Here is a 21,168-nt window from a genome sequence, read left to right as displayed (position 1 = left end):
TCAGATGACTGAAACCTTAGTAGCCATCTCCACTTTAATTTCATGAGAGACAGAACTGCTCAGCCAAACTGTTTCTGAACTTATACCTATAGAAACTCTAAAATAGGCCAGGCATGGTGGCTCATGCCTGTAATCCCAGCACTTTGGGAGGCTGAGTCAGGCAGATCACGAGGTCAGGAGATTGAGATCATCCTGGCTAACACGGTGAAACCCCATCTCTACTAAAAATACAAAAAAAATTAGGTGGGCGTGGTGGTGGGCGCCCATAGTCCCAGCTGCTCAGGAGGCTGAGGCAGGAGAATGGCATGAACCCATGAGGTGGAACTTGCAGTGAACCATGATTGTAACACTGCACTCCAGCCTGGGCAACAGAGTGAGACTCTGTCTCAAAAAAAAAAAAAAAAAAAAAGAAAAGAAACTGTAAAATAATGAAAGCTTATTGTTGCTTTATGGTATTAAGTTTGTGATTAATTTGTTTCACAGCTGCTATGATCTGAATATTTATGTTCTACAAAAATTCATACATTGACCCCTTATCCCCAGTATGATGGTACAGTGAAGTAGGGCTTTTGAGAGTTTATTAGGTCATGAGAATGGAGCTCTTGTGAATGGGATTAGTGCCCTTATAAGGGACTGAGGAGACCAGAGTTTTTCCTTTTCACCATGTGAAGACACAGTCAAAAAGACAACCTACTGCAAACCAGGAAATGAGCCCTTACCAGACACTGAATCCTCAGGCACCATGATCTTGGACTTTCCAGTCTCCAGAACTGTGAGAGAGAAATTTGTATTGTTTTTAAATCACCTGGTTTATATTTTGTTACAGCACTTGAACCACCAATAATGCAACAATAAATGGTCCATGCTTTGGTTATAGGAGTGACTGAGATTGCATTTCTTCACAGAACTTAAAAAGCGTGAGAAGACTCTAGTAAAAAATGCAATTACTATTGCCTCCTTGATTATATCTGTGGGGTGGAAAAACTGAGACAATTGTCAGGGTAATGTAACTTTGAATTATTTGATTTTTTCATAAAAAAATTTATGGACATAAATATTTATCATTTTGTTTCAATTTTTCACACATTTCACACTCCCCACCAACAATTGAATAATTACTCTATTTTCTATAAATGCTACCTGATAGTAACAAACAGTGTCACTAACTTAGCCTTAATACTTCAGCTAATACAGTTCCTCACCAGAATTTAATCTCTGTGGGAGATGAAATGTATTCTCTCTGGTTAATTGTAACTTGAGAAACAAGTATGCTGTACTTGTTTTTCAAGTTTTATGTGTATGTGTATATATATATAATTATTTATTTATATATCATATATTATATCATTCATTTAGTGAATTTATTTAATGAATATCTCATTAAATATATAAATATATAAAATATATAAAAATTCATTAAAATTCATTTTAATGGATATATAGTCATATCTATTCATTAAATAAATGATTCAATATATAAATGAATGAAAGCATCCGTTTTTTATTAAGTAGAAGAAAAATGGTTTCAAAATGAAACTGTAGATTTTTTTAAAAATACTTCTTACCCTGGAGAGAGAGACAGAGAGAGAGAAAGAGAGAGAAGGAGAAACAAGAAAAATACACAGAAAAAGAGAAAGAGAGAAAGAAAGTGATTTTAGGAATAAATAGTTTTACATATAGAGATATTTTATTTGCAGAGAAATTATTAGCTGCTGAACTTTAACTTGCCTCTACTACAAATGAGAAAAAAGAATAATATTCTGGTTTGCTAACACTTGCATATAAATTATAGTTGTAATTGCTCTATAAATAAAGGTGGCCAGCTGAGCAAGAAAATTGGTAGTGATTTGGGATATATAAGAAAATATTCAGTTATATTTATAACTTAATTACTTACCTTAGTTCAAGGAAAGTCAAAAGCATATAGATTAGAAGAAAGTTGCTCTAGTTTCTTCTAGTTGTTTCTTTCTTTTAAACTGACCTCCTGTTGTATCCAGATTCTTTATTCTTTCTTTATTTGTAATTTATAACTGAATAATATTTTGGTAATTTTAATAATGTTTTAAATAAAATTGTTTAATCCAATTTTTAGACCCATTTTTCCTAAAGATCTTTATAACTTTGATACCACAAGGGTCTACGTAAACACAATTATGACAATTTCAGATAGCAGTGCTAAGGTATGGGACGAGCTATGGAAATTACAAAACTGTGGCTTTAATGTTGGTAAGAAAACCATAAAAAAAAACTCTTGGAAAAAATAAAATACATTAACATCTAATTTTCCCAGTAAAATCAAAAGATAAGATTTTTTTTGTATTCATGAACATATCCGGAAAAGTTATCTAAATAACTTTTCAATTAAAATATCTTAAAATTAGAGTCTAAATTTCTTGCTATGTTAGAACAACTCTTAAGTACATATAGTAGTAAATCTAAAAATAATATAATATTCAGTTAATGACAATACACTTGATTTTTGTAATTTATTTCTTTTATTTTAGTTAGTTTGGATTATCTTCTTGAATAGTCATCTTGTTTGATGTTGAGGCCTAATAACTATCAAGTTTTCCATTCTCTATCCTGTGAAACTCAGACTGCTGGGAATTTATTTGCTTTTTCCATTACGGGGTGGTTACCTCTCTTCTCCATCATCATTTATCCTGTAATGAGCCTATTTTCATTGCTCTCATTTTTCTTCTTTCTGAATGTGGTATAAAATTTCTACTATTAGTTCCTACAGTCTATAAATGTTACCGATTGGAACAAGATAAGTACTAAAAGCAAAGTGTACTTTGTGTCTGAAAGATCTTATAAGCACATTCGCTAGTTTCACTGGGCTTAATGATTTTCTTGTTTCAACCTAGAAATAAGCCTATAAGCCCAGAAAGTTATGACTATTTAAATCCTTGGAATTATATAAGTAAGAAACAGCAAATTTGAAATAGCCCAACAATATTTTATCAATCCATTCAGCAATGCATGTTGAGAATCTATTACGTGCCAAGCACCGGTCTAGCCCCTTGAAATACATCAGGAACCAACAAAGGGAAAGCATCTGCATTAATGGAGCTATATATTGTAAGGGACAATAGGAAATGAACAAATTATTTGGAGAAGTATAGATAATATAAACAGGATGAACAGTTTGGAAAGTGTGTATGTTCTGTATGGTGGTCAGGGGAGACCCAAATAAAGTGAAATTTGAATAGAGACTTGAAAGAATAATAGAACGGAATGTATATTACATGAGGGAAAATGGTTGAAGTAGAAAGAATAATAACTGTAAAAGGCATAAAACGGGAGCATGCTTGGCTTTTTCTAGAAACAGTAAGGCTGTCAGAGCATCTGGAGCAGAATGAGCAAAAAGAGTAGGGTGGCAGACACAGTCAGGGAGGAATGGAGGAGCCAGGCTAAGTCACAAGAAGCCTTAGTCTTGTATTATGAGCTGGAGAGAAAGCAATGGGAGGCTCTGAGAGATGAGGAATGGCATCTTGACATTGTATTAAATGATTCCTCTGACTATGGCTTTGATAATAAATTTTAAGGAGCAAAGCTAGAAGCAGATAAACCTGTTAGAAGCCAAATACAATAAATCAGCTAAGAAAAGATGGTGGTGCCACTGTACATGTTATCAGATAAAGTAGTAAAAATGGTTACATTCTGAATACTTTAAAATACACAATTATATTTTCTGAGCATCTAGAAGCAAAAAGATGGAGAAGGGTGCAAGAATTTACATTTCTAAAAAGGCAATAGGATTTAGGTTTTGAACATGTCAAGTTTAAAATGCACACTCATGTAGAAGACTAAGCTATTAAGTACATGCATTTTGAACTTTGGGGAGAGGTTCTAGGAAGAGATGTAAATTGTTAAGATGAGAAAAACTACAGCATGTTAGTAAGCTTGAGGGTACTATCCAATAAAGAGGTAAGAATTCATAATGTAGATGGAAAAAATTACTGAGACTTATGTCTTTGAGTGGGAAAGAAGGGATGGGATCTAGTGAGCAAGAGGAAAAGTTGACTTAAGATCTAAACAGATGTTAAATCCTTAGTAACAGGACAAATAAAAGCAGAACATATGGGCACAAAAGCCAGAAGCAGTGACAGGATGTATACGGTAGGGGGGAATTTATACAGGTTCCCTTTGATTGCCTCTAATATTTGCAGTGGTACAAGAAGCAAGGTCTTCATTCATGGTTAATGATGGGGAAAGAATTATCCCAGGTTTGAAGATAGAGAAAAAGAGGTGATGAATTCAGGAGAAAAAATTGGGAAATATATTAGACTTTTAAAGAAGCACTTAGAGGTAACTTGAAGTTAATGGTACAGAATTCTTAGATTAGGAGAGGAAAAAAATGCTTCTCTATTTTACTCTCCTAGTAGAGTAAAAACATACAACATGTCAGGTGAAGTATGCCAATGCAATTTTGGTGAGTGAATACATTGAGTAGTTTCAAGGATAAATTGTCATATATACACATATATATATCATATATATATACACACACACATACATATATATTCCACACAGACTATAATAAATAAATGTCTTCTCCCAAAGGATCACTAGGACTTTGTAAGTTTTGGGACCTTGATAGATAAAATCTAGGACACAGAAACAAAAGGCCTCTTCTAAGAGAGAAGGATGCTTTTGAAACTCAAAGAAACTAAATGTATATTATCTTTGGAAATACGGATAAATAAAGGTGTGGTTCAAAATTTTCTGGTAACCTACAGAAACTTTTGGTAGTATGATGTATGTTATATCTTTTATAAATAAACAATTTTTATGAGAAGGATTAGGCTACAGTTCCTTTAACTATAATCTATTTCATAGGAACTTTTGTGGTATGGCCAAAAGACAGAAGACAATACTTTCTTGCTTAAATTTGGCCCTTCTAAAGACCATGGTTCATTGACTTCCTGATGCCTCACATCCTTTAAAGGAATGAAAGTCCCTCGGTAGTTAACACGATACACCAAGTTATTGCAAATATTTGATTTTGTTTCAACTTTGCATATCTACTGTATAAAGTAAAATAGATTTACACAGAGTGAGCAGTTCTCCTGAAGTGCAAACTTGCAGTGAAATTCATACTGATAAATCAGTGTTTATTTATTAAAATACTGCAAAAGAAATCTTAGTAAGGAATGTAAAATTAATAATTGTATGATGTTTTAAGACTATCAGATTTGAATTTTCTCTGTCATCCATCATTGAATATCAAGATAGTTTTAATAGGTAAGATGAGATGATAAATAATTTCTTTTGTCTGGAATCTGAATTTTTCCTAAGTATATGTACAATAATCAGGTGGTCTCAACCTAATATTTAATTTTACAGTTCTGTGATATGGCCTGGTAGTAAGATAAATGTATTTTTCTTATTTAAATTTATTTCTGTGCTTAAACATACCCTTTGGACTAGTGAACATAACTACAATAATATGTAGGACAGATTATTTAAATTTGTATTAATTTGTTTCAAAAATTTTATTATGATTTATATGCATTATATCATAGCAGTTTCTTTCCATTGAAAGTCACGTATTCACAAGGTGACTGATGAAGTTTACCAGTTAAATATATTATGATAAGATAAAGAAAAACTAACAGTTTTGAAAGGTATATTAATCTTTTATGTTGACCTGTTAACAGATTATTACCCAACTTGGTCAAATAGTTTCAGAGTAGCTCATTCTCTAAGTATTGCTAAATTTATCAAATCAGCATACTTCAAAATCAATTTTACTGATGTTTCTTTTAACAGTAAACTCTTGATTGTAATTTCTTGAATTTTCTCCTCTTGATTATGGCATAGCTAATCTTTGGAGTCTTTTATTCATATTATCATTTTATTAGGTAGGACAACAAATTGAAATTTAGAAATTGAAACATAATATAGCTTTTATTAAGTTATCTATAATATTCACATTGTAAAAATTATATAATGCTTACTTTCTGCATTCTTTCTAACTTGTTTGAAATTACTTGTTTTATTTATTCATTTTATATACTTTATAGTATAACTGTCATAAAAAAACTTTGCCTAAGTAATGAGTCTTATAACAGATACTGTAACACAATATTATCTATCACAACAGGTTGTATATATGTAAAATATGTATTACAGTCATATATATATATAGAGAGAGAGATGTGGGCATGTGTATGTGTGAATAAAACACTGTTCAAAAAAATACTCGAATTCTGGAAAAAAATGAAAATAATTTAGAGTAAATAGAATTTGATGGAGCACTGTAGTTGTCTCAATTATATTCAGATTGAAAAATAGTATAGCCTGGTATAACACTATGGGCTTTGGAATCATAAGTATGACTGTGACATGTGCTACATGTGTGACCTTGGACATGAACTCAGATTTCTCAAGAATAATGCAAGGTTTTAAATATAATAATACAGTTACCATGATCCACTGGTACTAGGCAGTTGATTTTCTCACATAACTCCTCTAAACCTACAGCACTGAATCCAGATTATCTGGGTCCCAGAAGCCTACATACCCCTCCTCAGACAGTATGCTTTATCATGCTTATCCTACAGGAAGACAGAACAAGAGGAAGAGACAGGGTACGTCTAGGGAATGAATAAACACACCACATATCAATGAGGGGGCCTGAGCTCCAGCCCGCCTCTATCTGGGGACAAAGCCCAGACTGGGAATCTGAAAGCCCTCTTCTCTTGATCCTGTGAAGCCTATTGTTTCTTTTAAGAGGAATAAGTTCAAGAGATCTATTGTACAACAGAGACTATAGTTAATAACAATATATTATATTCTTGAAAAATGCTGAGAGCAGATTTTAAGAGTTCTTAGCACAAAAAAAAGTTTATGAAGCTCACTCTTTTAATCCACAGTATGTGATATTGTAGAATTTGTCTGGAGCACTGTTATATGAGATGTGGTGACCCTGAAAGGAACCACTTTGAATACTAATTACCTAACACAGTCGCTGGCACATAATAAATGCTTCATACATGCTAGCTTTCTCACTGTCATTTCCTTCTCTACCCTTTGAACAAATGAAGACAGCTCATGGGAGATAATTTACAGCTAAGTTTGTTTTCGTTCTTGTTTCTTTGAAGAAAATATGTAAAACAATTTTCTGCTAATTTGAGATGAGCAAGTCATTTTGCTATCTTCTAAAAATAGAAAGAGATTATGGCTAATAAAAGACAAATAGGTTATTATTATTTTTGCATAAGGAACATAAAATGTACATTAAGAAACTGACAGTGTAACTGTTCCATATAACTCTGCCATGGTCAGGACTACATACTTGGGCTCTGTTGCTAGAACATAGTCAAAGTCTTAGTGGAAGTATAGCACTATTTTTGGTAGCAAAAAAAAAAAAGGAAGTTTCGCATTTCTCACATTGAAATCGAAAAATTAATTGGGAACATTTTTTCATGTGTTTCATTTTGTTTTTAGTTCTTTCCACTTAAACTTTCATTTTAGGTTCAGGGGCACATGTGCAGGTTTGTTGTATTGGTAAACTTGTGCTAAACCTCATGCTAAAAATGAGCATCCATGTACCTAGCACCAAGCTTAAGATATGTAATAATACCAATGGATTTGTAAAACCATATGTATTCCAAATACAAAGCATCCCTTTTCCCAGTCTCCAAAGATCCTCTATTTTTCTATTAACTTTCCTCTTGCATGCCCTTGTCATTTTGCTGTATGAGGAGAAGACGGCTGCTTACCTCATATACTTCCCTTCACTCTTTACCCCTAGTAGAGAGCCCTGATTTTATTTGAGGTAGCAGTATACCCAGCTAAAATACTGATCTAGCTTCATCTGAAGACAGTGGTGGTTTCTTTGTGGGTTTTTTTTGTTTGTTTGTTTGTTTTCTTGGAGACAGAGTCTCACTCTGTCACCCAGGCTGGAGTGCAGTGGTGCGATTCTGGCTCACTGCAACCTCTGCCTCCCAGGTTCAAGCGATTATCCTGCCTCAGCCTCCCAAGTAGCTGAAATTACAGGCATGCACCACCATGCCCAGCTAATTTTGTATTTTTAGTAGAGACAGGGTTTCACCATGTTAGCCAGGCTGATCTCCAGCTTCCGACCACAGGTGATCCACCGGCTTTGGCCTCCCAAAGCGCTGGGATTACAGGCATGAGCCACTAGGCCCAGCTGACAATAGTGGTTTCTGAGATGAAAGATCTAAGAGAAAGCCACTGAGTAGGATTCTTAGGAGAACCCCTTTTCTATTTTTTTAACTTCTTCTCCTTATTACTGTCTGGAATGTGTTCTTGATTCCTGATCTTCAATATTCACTTTTTGAACTTGAATATAAATGACAATGCTAAGTATGAACCAGCATAAAAAATAATTTTAGTGAAACCTCTCTGCTATGCCTGGATTAACAATCTCCAGGCTACAGTTAAAAAGTAAGATTCTAAATTATTTGAGTTAATATAAAATTTCTATTAGTTTAACACAAATCCTAGCTGACGTTCTTCATTACATTTATCCACACATAGATACAGAGAATGGAATGACAGAAAATGGAGATTTCAAAACGGTAAGAAAGTGAGAGGGCATGAATCATAAAAAATTACTTTATGGGCACAAAGTACATTATTTGGGAGATGGAAACCCTAAAGGACCTGACTTGACCACTATCTGAGATATTTGCATGTAAGAAAATTGCACTTGTACCCTATACATTTATACAAAATAAAAAATAATTTTCATGAGTTTTCATGCATATGTAAACGAAATCATATTGTAAAGAGACTTTTTGTGATTCACTTAATTACTCCATATTAATATTTTGAGATGTATGTAGTTCCCTAATTTCCACTACTATGTGACATTATCTTTAGTTTTTGAACAATTTACTTACCTATTTTATTGTTGATGAAGATTTGGGTTTGTGTTAACATTTATTATTGTTACAATGTTGCTAGGAACAATCATGTAAATATCTCCTGGATCAGATAAGAAAGATTTTCTATATTAATATTCTATGACTGGAATTCCCAGATTACTGGATGTGTGCATTTTCAAATACATTTAGTAAGAAAAAAATTGTATTCCTACATATGCTTACCAATTGAAAGTGTGGCTACGTGTGAAAGAAAATCATATTTCACTAACACTTTGAATTATCTTTTTTTTCATTTTTTCCAGTTGAGTGGGGATAAAAATTTATCTCGTGTTATTTTATCTCAATTTCTAGTTAAATTATTTTTATCATATATTTTTATAACATTGTGCTTTTTGTATGAAATAACAGATCATGTTTTTGTCCATTATCCTATTGAATCTGTTATTTTTATTACTTTAAAATAATTACATTAAAATACCCATCTTAGGAGAGTTGGGAATTGTAAATATATCTTTGTAATGTTCATATTTATTATTTTCCATATTAATGTAGTTGAACAAAGAAATCTTCTACTTTATGGTTTTTGGGTTTATTTTATGTCTTGTTTAGAAATTACCTTCCAACCACAATTAAGTGGTTTAAGTCTTTAATCAATGTGGAATTGAATTTATGTAAGATGTCAGGAAGGGATCAAATTTCTTTTGTAAACATATAAGTAATCAATTTTCCCAGCGCTATATCTTTGTACTCTTCAGTTCTCCTCACTGGTCTGAAATGCTACTTATTTCCTTAATTAACTTTAAAATAAGTTGCATCTAATTTCCAGTGTGCTAGGTGCTTTCTTTTTTGTGCAAACACTTTGTATCAGAATTTTAAATCTATGCTCAATGCTGAGATTGACCTATGATTTTCTTTTCTTTCTTTTTTTTTTTTTTAAAGCAACTCTGCCATTTTCTGTTCAAGGTTTCACTACCCTGACAAAATGAATTGTGAAGTTGCTTTTCTTTTTTAATTCTAATGGAGAAAATGAAAACGTTTGCTTGATTGAACATGCCTGTTCTTTGAATACTTGCTAAATGTTATATTAAAATTTCTGTATTATTATTGATGATGCAAGTGGTATTTACATTTCTGAAATTCATTAGAATGACCCCATGAAGATCATTCCTAAACAAAATTGGAATATAAATATGGTTTATTATTATGCCCATTTCTCTTCTCAAGTTAGCTTAATCTTCACCTTTGGTATTACTCCCTGCTCTGAAATATGTGGCTCCAATCAGTTTCTTCCTGCTGTTTCTTCATCTGCCATGGAGCTGCCTACTGTGGTATTTATTCTGAGTCTGCCTTTCTTACAGGTGCTTCAGCTATTTTTACATGCCTTTCTTACATGCTTCCGATATATTCTGGCTTTATTGTAAGTGACTTACTCTATATAAGTTCTGCAAAAGCAACTATTTATTATTGTTTTGTGGGCATCTATATTGGTAGATGTGAAAGATAAAAGACACATCATGATAAAAGGAAGAGTAAGTTCTATCTATTATATTGTAAAGATCCTATTTCCTTTTATAAATAATATAATACCTGTATTAATAATTTAATCGATAAGTGGCTGAAAATAGGTTATAGTGTTATCATTTCCAGAAAGCATACATGAATTTTAACTGTCAACATTAAGGCATTAAACCTGTCATTTAGGCATTGAGTTAAGTCAATGAGAATGTATTTGGGGACTCAAAAGTCCTGTCAGTCCTCAAATGGCAACATGTAGTAAGTTGTCTGATACATGCATTAGGAATTTCCTACATAGTCAGCAAGTTAGCTAGTAAAGGAAAGTTTAGTTTCTAATTTAAAACTATTTTAAACGTGTATAGCATTTAAAATACTAAAGTTACTTTGTTTTTTGGTTAAGGATTTTAGATGGCATTTTTACCTATGATAGCTATTTTGATTAATAAAGGAATTGTGAATGTCATTTGGGGAAGCCTGTTGTTTCCCATTTTGGCTTAAAGATAAACAACCGATGTGTAAAACACAGGCAGATTTTTATCTACTGCACAAAATAGAATTCTCTTTCAAAAAGTTTTGTTTGCATAATTGTCATTTTAGTCACAATTGTGTTTCCTACTTGATGATGAGAAACACTGAATTAACCAGGGAAGAGAAAATATTGTAGAGACTATGGAGTCACACCAACTGGATTCCATAGTGACTAAGGAGTCACACCAACTGGATCTGCACTTATTGTGCCAACAAGTTACCACATCTCATCCTGCCTCCATTAATTGATCTGTAAATGTGTAATTATTTATAGTGGTACTGTGCTAATGTTAACCTTGAAAACACTTAAAAGCTGTGCATATGATATTCAAGTATTTTCTTATGTTAATTATGTGATTTTTTTACTACCATAGGCTATTACTAATTTTATTGATACTAGAAAAATTATGTGTATGGCTGTATCTATTTAGAAGACTGTAAGATGATCATATACACACTTGAATTATAAAAGAATGAAATGTTTAAAGCTAGTTTCATGTACGCATTTATGTCCCTTCTGGTTTTCCTAGTAATTAAGAGCTCATGCTTTCAAATCAGACTACCTGTGCTTGAGTCTCAGCCATTCCACTGACTAGAAATATAGTCTAATATTAGTATGGAAGTTCCTCATTTATAAAATGATGTTAAGAACAGCACCAACCTCACTGGATTGCTGATGGGATTATACAAATTAATGCATATAAAGTATATAGGACAACATCTAGCACATAACTAGTGCTCAACAGTCCAAAATAAATCTTGAATGTGTATGTGTATTTATGTAATATTTGACAACATTAATATCATTTTAAAGGTTCTAAAGAGGAATTGTAAACTTATTAGCCAGAAATACGGTCATATGCAGGCATTTCCTATATAATATATTATTATAAGTTGAAGTTAATAATATGTTAGAATTCTGTAGACAAGGTAATAGAAAATCTGCCTTGTCAATCTCAATGGCTTAACATAATACATTTTACTACTAATCATTACATAGTCTAATGAGATTGGAAGTTATGGTAGAGGGTCTTTATGAAATCACTAAGGGGTACAGTTTCTTTCAATCTAGAATTACGACCATCTTTTACATTCTACTCCAAGACTATACCAGAAGGAAAAGGCATAGGGCAGGATTCTTTATGGAATATATTTATAAATGAGACCTAGAGCTGGTTTACATTACTTTTTTCTTGCAATTTTTTGGCCAGAACTAGATGCAGCTGGACTTAGGAAATATGTTCTTTCTATGTATTCAGGAGGAAAACGAAGTAAATGCTATGTGTTCATCATATTTCACACTATTATAAAAATTACAATTGTATTACCAACTTCATATAATTTTTCTACAAGTCATACTTACCATCTAATGTTGCTGAAGCATGTGAGGGCAGCTCTATAAAAACAATACAAAACCTGGAACAACAAAAAGTGATCATGAATATGTTGGTGCAAATGATGAATCATTAAATTATTTTAACAGTATGATGTTTCTTACAGCTGATTGTAAAATAAACCAGTAATAACTATTTCTGAAGCTTGGTTCCTGAAAATAACATTATATATTATAACCCTGTAAAAATGCTAACAGAGAATGTGCTAGCAGCCATCATTCATTCTCTATATTTTTAAGAGTTCTGGTAAGTGATCACTCCATAAAGTAATTATGTCAGCAAAAGTATTGCCAAATACAACATTTTTCTTCTTTTAGGCATATCATATTCAAAATATAATGACTGAAAAATTCATGGCTGAGTCTTTATAGTGTTTCTATTCACAGAAATGATCAGTACTTGCCCATATAAAGCTAAGTGTTGCAACATTTATTTCTCTATCTGATAATAATTTTATCAGATTACAATATTTGCTACAATATTATAATTTATTTGCATAGAGAGTGAGCCATATTGTAATTGCATTATATCATAAAGTGTTTTAGAAAAAACTTTGAGTCTTTTTCTTGCCCAATTTTCTTTAACATTTATTTTGAGGTATTTTAACAGCTTTATTGAGGTATGATTTAAACAAAACATTCATACATAGTTATTTACAATTCAATAAATTTTAGTTATTTACAATTTAATAAGTTTATAGAGTTGCACAACCAACATGGTCTAATTTAAATTTTCCATTGAACCTGCTGAAAGCCAATCCTCACATCCATCCCCATCCCCAGGTTACTATAGATATGATTTCTATTTACCTAAATTTGTTCTGAACATTTTATGTAAACGAGGACATATAATACATAGTATTTTGTGTCTTGCTTCCTTCATAAAGACTTTGAAGTCAATTCATCTTCCAGATGTATAATTTATTCCTTATTATTTATTTATAGTATTCCATTACGTGGATATATCACATTTGTTTATCCATTCACCAGTTGGGTTTCTACTTTTTAGCTATTATGAACAATGCTTCTATGAACATTGGCATATTAAGCTTTGAGTGGAGAGTGTATCTAGCATTTCAATTCTCTTGGATAGATTTTTAGGACAAAAATTGCTGGTCATATGATAAGCTTATGTTTAGCTTTTTAAGAAACAGATGGACTTTTGCAAAGAGGTTGTACTATTTTTATTTGCACCAGCAATTTAGGAGGGCTCCAGTTTCTTGAAAACCTTATAATACTTGGCATTGACTATCTTTTATATCATGGTCCTTCTGGTTATTTTATAATAAGATATCATTGTGATTTTAATTTTTAATTTCCTATTGCCTAATGATGTTGCAAACATTTTATAATGCTTAATAAAAATTTGTATGTCTTTCTTGATGAAAAGCTTATTTAAATGTCTTGTCTATTTTTTGAATTGGATTGTTTCCTCATTATTTTTGAGTTGCAAGATTTATTTATGTATTCTGGATAAAAATTGTCCATTAGATATATGATTTGCAAAAATATTCTATTTTAGCTTATTCTTTAATGTTTCTGAAGGCAATTTTAATATATGCATCTTTATACCTCTCTGAATAACATAGGTATTTTGCTTTTCAAGAAAGAGTTCAATGTCTATTTTGTCAGACATTTTCCTCTGTATATATGTACAAGGATAAAACCTGTGATCTAGTTAGATACATATATCTTTATTTTCCTTATGTGTATTTGAGTTTTACATTAAAACCTAGCTTTCTATGACTTTTCATGGTTTCTAAACTTCCTTAAGATTTTATTACATACAGAAGTGATGATGGTAGAGAGACAAGAAGTTGGAGTCCTATGGTCAGGCCCATCTCAGAGATCTTGTTTCTAATAAATCCAACTTATGACTCTTGTGCTATTCCATATGTACTATTTATATTTTTTGCCATATCAATCCAGAAAATAATTTCATACCTTTTATAATTTCCACAAAACAAATAGATTAAACACTAAATAATATGGCTTGGCTGTGTCCCCACCCAAATCTCATTTTGAATTGTAGCTCCCATAATTCCCATGTGTTATGGGAGGGACCTGGTGGGGAATCACTGAATCATGTGGATGATATTCCCCATACTGTTTTCATGATAGTGAATAAGTTTCACAAAATCTGATGGTTTTATAAGGGGTTTCTCCTTTCACTTGGTTCTCATTCTCTCTTGCCTGCAACCATGTAAGATGTGCCTTTCACCTTCAGCCATGATTGAGCCACATGGAAATGTGAGTCCATTAAACCTATTTTTCTTTACAAAGTACCCATTTTTGGGTATGTCTTTATCAGCAGCATGAAAACAGACTAATACAATAAATCGGAACCAGGAGTGGGGTGCTACTGTAAAGATACCTGAAAATGTGGAAGCAACTTTGGAACTGTGTAAAAGGCAGAGTTTGGAACAGTTTGGAGGGCTCAGGAGAAGACACGAAAATGTGGGAGAGTTTGGAACTTCCTAGAGACTTGTTGAATGGCTTTGACCTAAGTGCTGATAATGATATGGACAATGAAATCCAAACTGAGGTGGTCTCAGATGGAGATGAGGAATTTCAGTGGAACTGGAATAAAGGTGACTCTTGCTATGTTTTAGCAAAGAGACTGGCAGCATTTTGCTCCTGTCCTAGAGATTTGTGGAACTTTGAACTTGATGGAGATGATTTAGGGTATCTGGCAGAGGAAACTTCTAAGCAGCAAAGCATTCAAGATGTGACTTGGGTGCTGTTAAAAACCATTCTGTTTTAAAAGGAAAACAGTATAAAAGTTCAGAAAATTTACAGCTTGATGATGTGATAGATAAAAAACATTTTATGAGGAGAAATTCAAGTTGGCTGCAGTAATTTGCTTAAGTAATGAGAAGACAAATGTTAATTGCCAAGACAATGGGGAAAATGTTTCCAGGGCATGTCAGAGACTTTCAGGGCGGCCCCTCCCATCACAAGCCCAGGGGTCAAAGAGGACAAAATATTTTTGTGGGCTGGGCCCGGGGCCCTCCTGCTGTATGCAGCCTAGGGACTTGGTGCCCTATGTCCCAGCTGCTTCAGCTGTGGCTAAAGGGGCCAGTGTACAGCTCAGGTCATGGCTCCAGAGGGTGCAAGCCCCAAGCCTTGGCAGCTTCCACGTGGTGTTGAGCCTGCAAGTATACAGAAGTCAAGAACTAAGGTTTCAGAATCTCTGCCTGAATTTCAGAGGATGTATAAAAAACCTGGATGCCCAGGCAGAAGTTTGCTGTAGGTGCAGGGCCCTCATGGAGAGCCTCTGCTAGGGAAGTATAGAATGGAAATGTGGAGTTGATGCCCTTACACAGTGTCCCCACTGGGGCACTGATTAGTGGAGCTGTGAGAAGAGGGCCACCATTCTCCAGACCCCAGAATGAAAGATCCACTGTCAGCTTGCACCCTGTGCCTGGAAAAGCCACAGACACTCAACGTCAGCCCATGAGAGCAGCCTGGTGGGAGGCTGTACCTGCAGCCTGCAGCAAAGTCACAGGGCCAGAGCTGCCCAAGACCATGGGAACCCACCTCTTGCATCAGTGTGACCTGGATGTGAGACATGGACTCAAAGAAGATCATTTTGGAGCTTTATGATTTGACTGCCTTTCTGGATTTTGGAATTACATGGAGTCTGTAGCCCCTGTGTTTTGTCCAATTTCCCCTATTTGGAATGGGCATATTTAATCAATGCATGTAGCCCCATCGTATCTAGGAAGTAACAAACTTGCTTTTGATTTTACCGGCTCATTGGCAGAAGGAACTTGCCTTGTCTCAGATGAGACTTTGACCTATGGACTTTTGGGTTAATGCTGAAATGAGTTAAGACTTTGTGGGACTTCTGGGAAGGCATGACTGGTTTTGAAATGTGAGGACATGAGATTTGGGAGTGGCCAGGGGTGGAATGATAAGTTGTGACTGTGTACCAACCCAAATCTCATCTCAAATTGTACTCCCATAATTCTCACATGTTGTGGGAGGAAACTGGTGGGAGATAATTGAATCATGCGGGTGGTTTCCCCCATACTGTTCTCATGGTACTGAATAAGCCTCACAAGATCTGATGGTTTTATAAGTGGTTTGCCTTATTGCTTGGCTCTCATTCTCTTTGTCTGCCACCATGTAAGATGTGACTTTGCTCCTCCTTGCCTTCCTCCATGATTGTAAGGCCTCCCCAGCCATGTGGAACTGTGAGTTCATCGAATCTTTTTTTCTTGACAAATTAGCTAGTTTTGGGTACATCTTTATCAGCGGTGTGAAAATGCACTAATACACTGCATAAGACACCTTTGAATTTTAAAGTTATTAATTTGTTTTGCCCTCACATCCATGACATTAAATTTAAATTTAACATTGTCCATCTGTGTTCTTTAAAGTCCATAGAATATTCATCTGCTTGGGAATTTTCCTAGGATATCTGTACCACATACTCTTCCATTTATATTAATATCTTCTGTTATTTCTTATCTCCTTCAAAGAATACTTTTTTAACCTTTTAAGAAGAAGAGCATCGTAACTGTCCTTTATTTTTCAGATTTATACACAGTCATATTTTTGCTAAGGGCCTTTGTTTCTATTGTAACAATCTTAAAATATTTCCCAAGTAAACTCTCTAAGAAGAACTCTGCAGCTAACTATTAAAAGAACAAAGCTCAGACTTCCAATTCTGGACAAGATGGAGTATCCCATGCCTTCCAGGTTCTTCCTCTTACAAACAAGTACTCTAGACATAGCAAAACAAACAAGCTTATGAAGACTGTGTATAGTGAAATGAAGCAAATGGATGGGCTGGTAAATTTAGAACCTGAGGAACAATGTGGTAGTGAGTCTCCTGTATATCTTTATTATATGCCGTATTACTCAGTCAGAGTGCTGCAGAAACTTCCGACTGGGAACTGCCATCGGGTGCAGCTAAAGTAGATCCAAGAAAGCAGTGTTCTCCCTAGCTAAAAGTCCCAAAAGTGTGTCCTAACAACTCAAAAATCTTTCTTAGCAATGCTTACTCTAACTCCAGCCAAACACTAATGGAAAAAGAAAATGGATACACATTTATACACCTCATCTTCTCTCTCTCACCTTCAACCGCAACAGTTTCAGGCAGAAATACTCTGATTCCTCTACCTAGTGAGTGTTGATAAGGCCATGCAAAGACCTATATTTTAGCCAGTTCCTCTCCCACACACACAGAAGGTAATGACACTACAAATTATCCACTGTGTGTTGTTGGTATAGAGCTGATCTTCAGTTGTCTGCTAGAAAGAGGCAGTCAATTCTCTGATTCTCTAGCTAGTGGAGTCCAGGAGCAAACTGAGCCTCCTTCCTTAAACAGAAGCAACAAGACTTATGAAGGTGGCAGTAGGTAGGACAAATAAAAGCGCTATGAATCAGTAATTTAAAAACCTACCAACGGGAAAACAGCCCTGGACCAGACAGAGTCACAGCTGAATTCTACCAGAGGCAAAAAGAAAAGCCAGTCACAATCCTACTGATACTATTCCAAAAATTCAAGGAGGAGGAACTCCTCCCTAGCTCATTCTATAAGGCCAGCATCATCCTGATACCAAAATCTGGCAAAGACAAAATGAAAAGATAAAACTTCTAGTATCCCTGATGAACACAAATGCAAAAATCCTCAGTAAAACACTAGCAATCCAAATCTAGAAGCACATCAAAAAGCTAATCCAACCATGACCAAGTAGGTTTTATTCCTGCCATGCAAAGTTGGTTTAACCTGTGCAAATCTAACTGTGATACATCACATAAACAGAACTAAAAACAATAACCACATGATCATCTTAATAGGCACAGAAAAGGCTTTTGATAAAATTCAACATTCCTTCATGTTAAAAACCCTCAATAAATTCACGTTAAAAAACCCTCAACAACAACTTCATGTTAAAAAAACTTCAACATCAGGCATTAAAGAAACTTACTTCAAAATAATTAGGGCCATCTATGACAAACACGCAGCCAAAATTATACTGAACGAGCAAAAGCTAAAAGTATTCCTTTTGAGAACTGGAAGAAGAAAAGGAAAACGACTCTCACCACTCCTGTTCAACATACTACTGAAAGTCCTAGCCAGAGCAATCAGTCAAGAGAAAGAAATAAAAGGCACCCAAATAAGAAGACAGAAAATCAAACTATCTCTCTTCACAGAAGATATGATATAATAGTATATCTAAAAAGCCCTTAGTCTCTGCTCAAAGACTACTAGATGCAAAACAATTTTAGCAAAGTCTCAGGATACAAAATCAATATATAAAAATCAGTAGCATTTCTACATCCCAAAAACATCTAAGCTGAGAGTCAAATCAAGAATGCAAACCCATTAGCAATTGCCACAAAAAGAAAAAAAAAACTAAAAATACAGCTAACCAGGGAGGTAAAAGATCGCTATAATGAGAATTATAAAACACTGCTGAAAGAAATCAAATGATGCAAACAAATTGGAAAACATTCCATGCTCATGGATAGAAAGAATCAATATTGTTAAAATGGCCATACTGCCCAAAGCTACATACAGATTCAGTGCTGTTCCCATCAAACTATCAAGCACAGGAATTAGAGACCAACCTGGGTAACATGGCAAAACCCTATCTCTACAAAATTTACAGAAAATAGCCAGGCATCCTTGGGAGCCTGAGGCAAAAGGATCACTTGAGCCCATTAGTTCAAGCTGCAGTGAACCATGTTCATGCCACTCCACTCCAGCATGGGTGGCAGAGTGAGACCCTGTCTCAACAACAACAACAACAACAATCAATCAATCAATAACACTTTTCACAGAAATAGAAAAAAAAAATCTAAAATTCATTTGGAACCAAAAAGGAGCCTGAACAGCCAAAGCAATCCTAGATAAAGGCAACAAAGTTGAGACATCACACTACCTGACTTCACACTATACTACAAAGGTACAATATGTGTGCAAAAACAGACACATAGGCCAATAAAACAGGTTAAAAAACCCAGAAATAAAGCTGCATACCTACGACCATCTGGTCTTCGACAAAGCTGACAAAAACAAGTAATGAAGAAAGGACTCCTTATTCACTAAAGGCTGCTGTAATAACAGGCTAGCCATATATAGAAGATTAAAATTGAACTCTTACATTTCACCATATATAAAAATCCACTCTAGATGGATTAAAGACTTAAATGTAAAACCTATAACTGTAATGATCCTAGAAGGTAATCTGGAAAATATTTTTCTGGACATCAGCCTATACAAAGACTCCATAAAAAAGACTCCAAAAGCAATTGCAACAAAACTAAAAATTGACTATTAGGACCTAATTAAAATAAAGAATTTCTGCACAGCAAAATAAACTATCAACAAAGTAAATGAACAATCTAAAGAATAGGAGAAAACATTTGCAAATGTTTCTTTGTTGGCTTATCCATCTGACAAAGTCTTAATATCAAGAATCTGTAAGGAACTCACGTAAGTCAACAAACAAAACACAAACAACCCCGTTAAAATGGCAAATGGCCAAGGAACTGAACAGACCCTTCTTGGAAGAAGACATACAGGAGTCCAACAAGCATTTGAAAAAATACTCTATCACTAATCATTAGGGAATGCAAATCAAAATCACAATGAGAAACAATCTCATTCCAGTCAGAATGGCTATTAATAAAAAGTCAAAAAATAACAGAGGTTATTTTTTGGTGGTTTGCTTGTGAGTTTACAGAGAAAAGGGAATGCTTATACACTGCTGGTGGGATTGCAAGTTAGTTCAGGCATTGTGGAAAGCAGTCTGGAGATTTCTCAAAGAACTTAAAATAGAACTACCATTAGACCCAGCAATCCCATTACTGGGTGTATAACCAAGGGAATATGAATCTTACCACCATAAAAACAAATGCGGAGGAGCCAAGATGGCCGAATAGGAACAGCTCCAGTCTACAGCTCCCACCGTGAGCGACGCAGAAGACGGGTGATTTCTGCATTTCCATCTGAGGTACCGGGTTCATCTCACTAGGGAGTGCCAGACAGTGGGCGCAGGTCAGTGGGTGCGCGCACCGTGTGCGAGCCGAAGCAGGGCGAGGCACTGCCTCACTCAGAAAGCGCAAGGGGTCAGGGAGTTCCCTTTCCGAGTCAAAGAAAGGGGTGACGGACGGCACCTGGAAAATCGGGTCACTCCCACCCGAATACTGCGCTTTTCCGGCGGGCTTAAAAAAACGGCGCACCACGAGATTATATCCGGCACCTGGCTCGGAGGGTCCTACGCCCACGGAGTCTCGCTGATTGCTAGCACAGCAGTCTGAGATCAAACTGCAAGGCGGCAGCGAGGCTGGGGGAGGGGCGCCTGCCATTGCCCAGGCTTGATTAGGTAAACAAAGCAGCCAGGAAGCTCGGACTGGGTGGAGCCCACCACAGCTCAAGGAGGCCTGCCTGCCTCTGTAGGCTCCACCTCTGGGGGCAGGGCACAGACAAACAAAAAGACAGCAGTAACCTCTGCAGACTTAAATGTCCCTGTCTGACAGCTTTGAAGAGAGCAGTGGTTCTCCCAGCACGCAGCTGGAGATCTGAGAACGGGCAGACTACCTCCTCAAGTGGGTCCCTGACCCCTGACCCCCGAGCAGCCTAACTGGGAGGCACCCCCCAGCAGGGGCACACTGACACCTCACACGGCAGGGTATTCCAACAGACCTGCAGCTGAGGGTCCTGTCTGTTAGAAGGAAAACTAACAAACAGAAAGGACATCCACACCAAAAACCCATCTGTACATCACCATCATCAAAGACCAAAAGTAGATAAAACCACAAAGATGGGGAAAAAACAGAACAGAAAAACTGGAAACTCTAAAAAACAGAGCGCCTCTCCTCCTCCAAAGGAACGCAGTTCCTCACCAGCAA

General features: G+C 35.2%; 1 long non-coding RNA gene across 2 annotated transcripts in view, besides 2 other annotated features; it reads right to left on the bottom strand.

The window, feature by feature from the left end:
* The window catches only part of LINC02315 (long intergenic non-protein coding RNA 2315), a 186,338-nt gene extending 165,939 nt beyond the window's left edge, over positions 1-20,399 (bottom strand). For both annotated transcript variants that reach the window (NR_109758.1, NR_109757.1), the window contains exons 1-3: positions 20,158-20,399; positions 12,268-12,320; positions 720-770 (exon numbers count right to left, since the gene is read on the bottom strand). This is a non-coding gene — a long non-coding RNA (long intergenic non-protein coding RNA 2315). The remainder of the gene's footprint in view (positions 1-719; positions 771-12,267; positions 12,321-20,157) is intronic.
* Positions 19,756-20,328: an enhancer, noted in NCBI's record as "H3K27ac hESC enhancer chr14:41423987-41424559 (GRCh37/hg19 assembly coordinates)". NCBI's record gives its function as "activates a minimal SCP1, AML or CMV promoter by ChIP-STARR-seq in naive H9 embryonic stem cells {active_cell/tissue: H9 hESC(naive)}" and the evidence as "EXISTENCE:reporter gene assay evidence [ECO:0000049][PMID:30033119]".
* Positions 20,329-20,902: an enhancer, noted in NCBI's record as "OCT4-NANOG-H3K27ac hESC enhancer chr14:41423413-41423986 (GRCh37/hg19 assembly coordinates)". NCBI's record gives its function as "activates a minimal SCP1, AML or CMV promoter by ChIP-STARR-seq in naive H9 embryonic stem cells {active_cell/tissue: H9 hESC(naive)}" and the evidence as "EXISTENCE:reporter gene assay evidence [ECO:0000049][PMID:30033119]".

Source organism: Homo sapiens, chromosome 14 (genome assembly GCF_000001405.40).
Source record: "Homo sapiens chromosome 14, GRCh38.p14 Primary Assembly".
NCBI classification, from domain to species: Eukaryota; Metazoa; Chordata; class Mammalia; order Primates; family Hominidae; genus Homo; species Homo sapiens.
The sequence above is the reverse complement of the archived record's forward strand: the minus strand, read 5'-3'. Positions and strand labels throughout refer to the sequence as shown.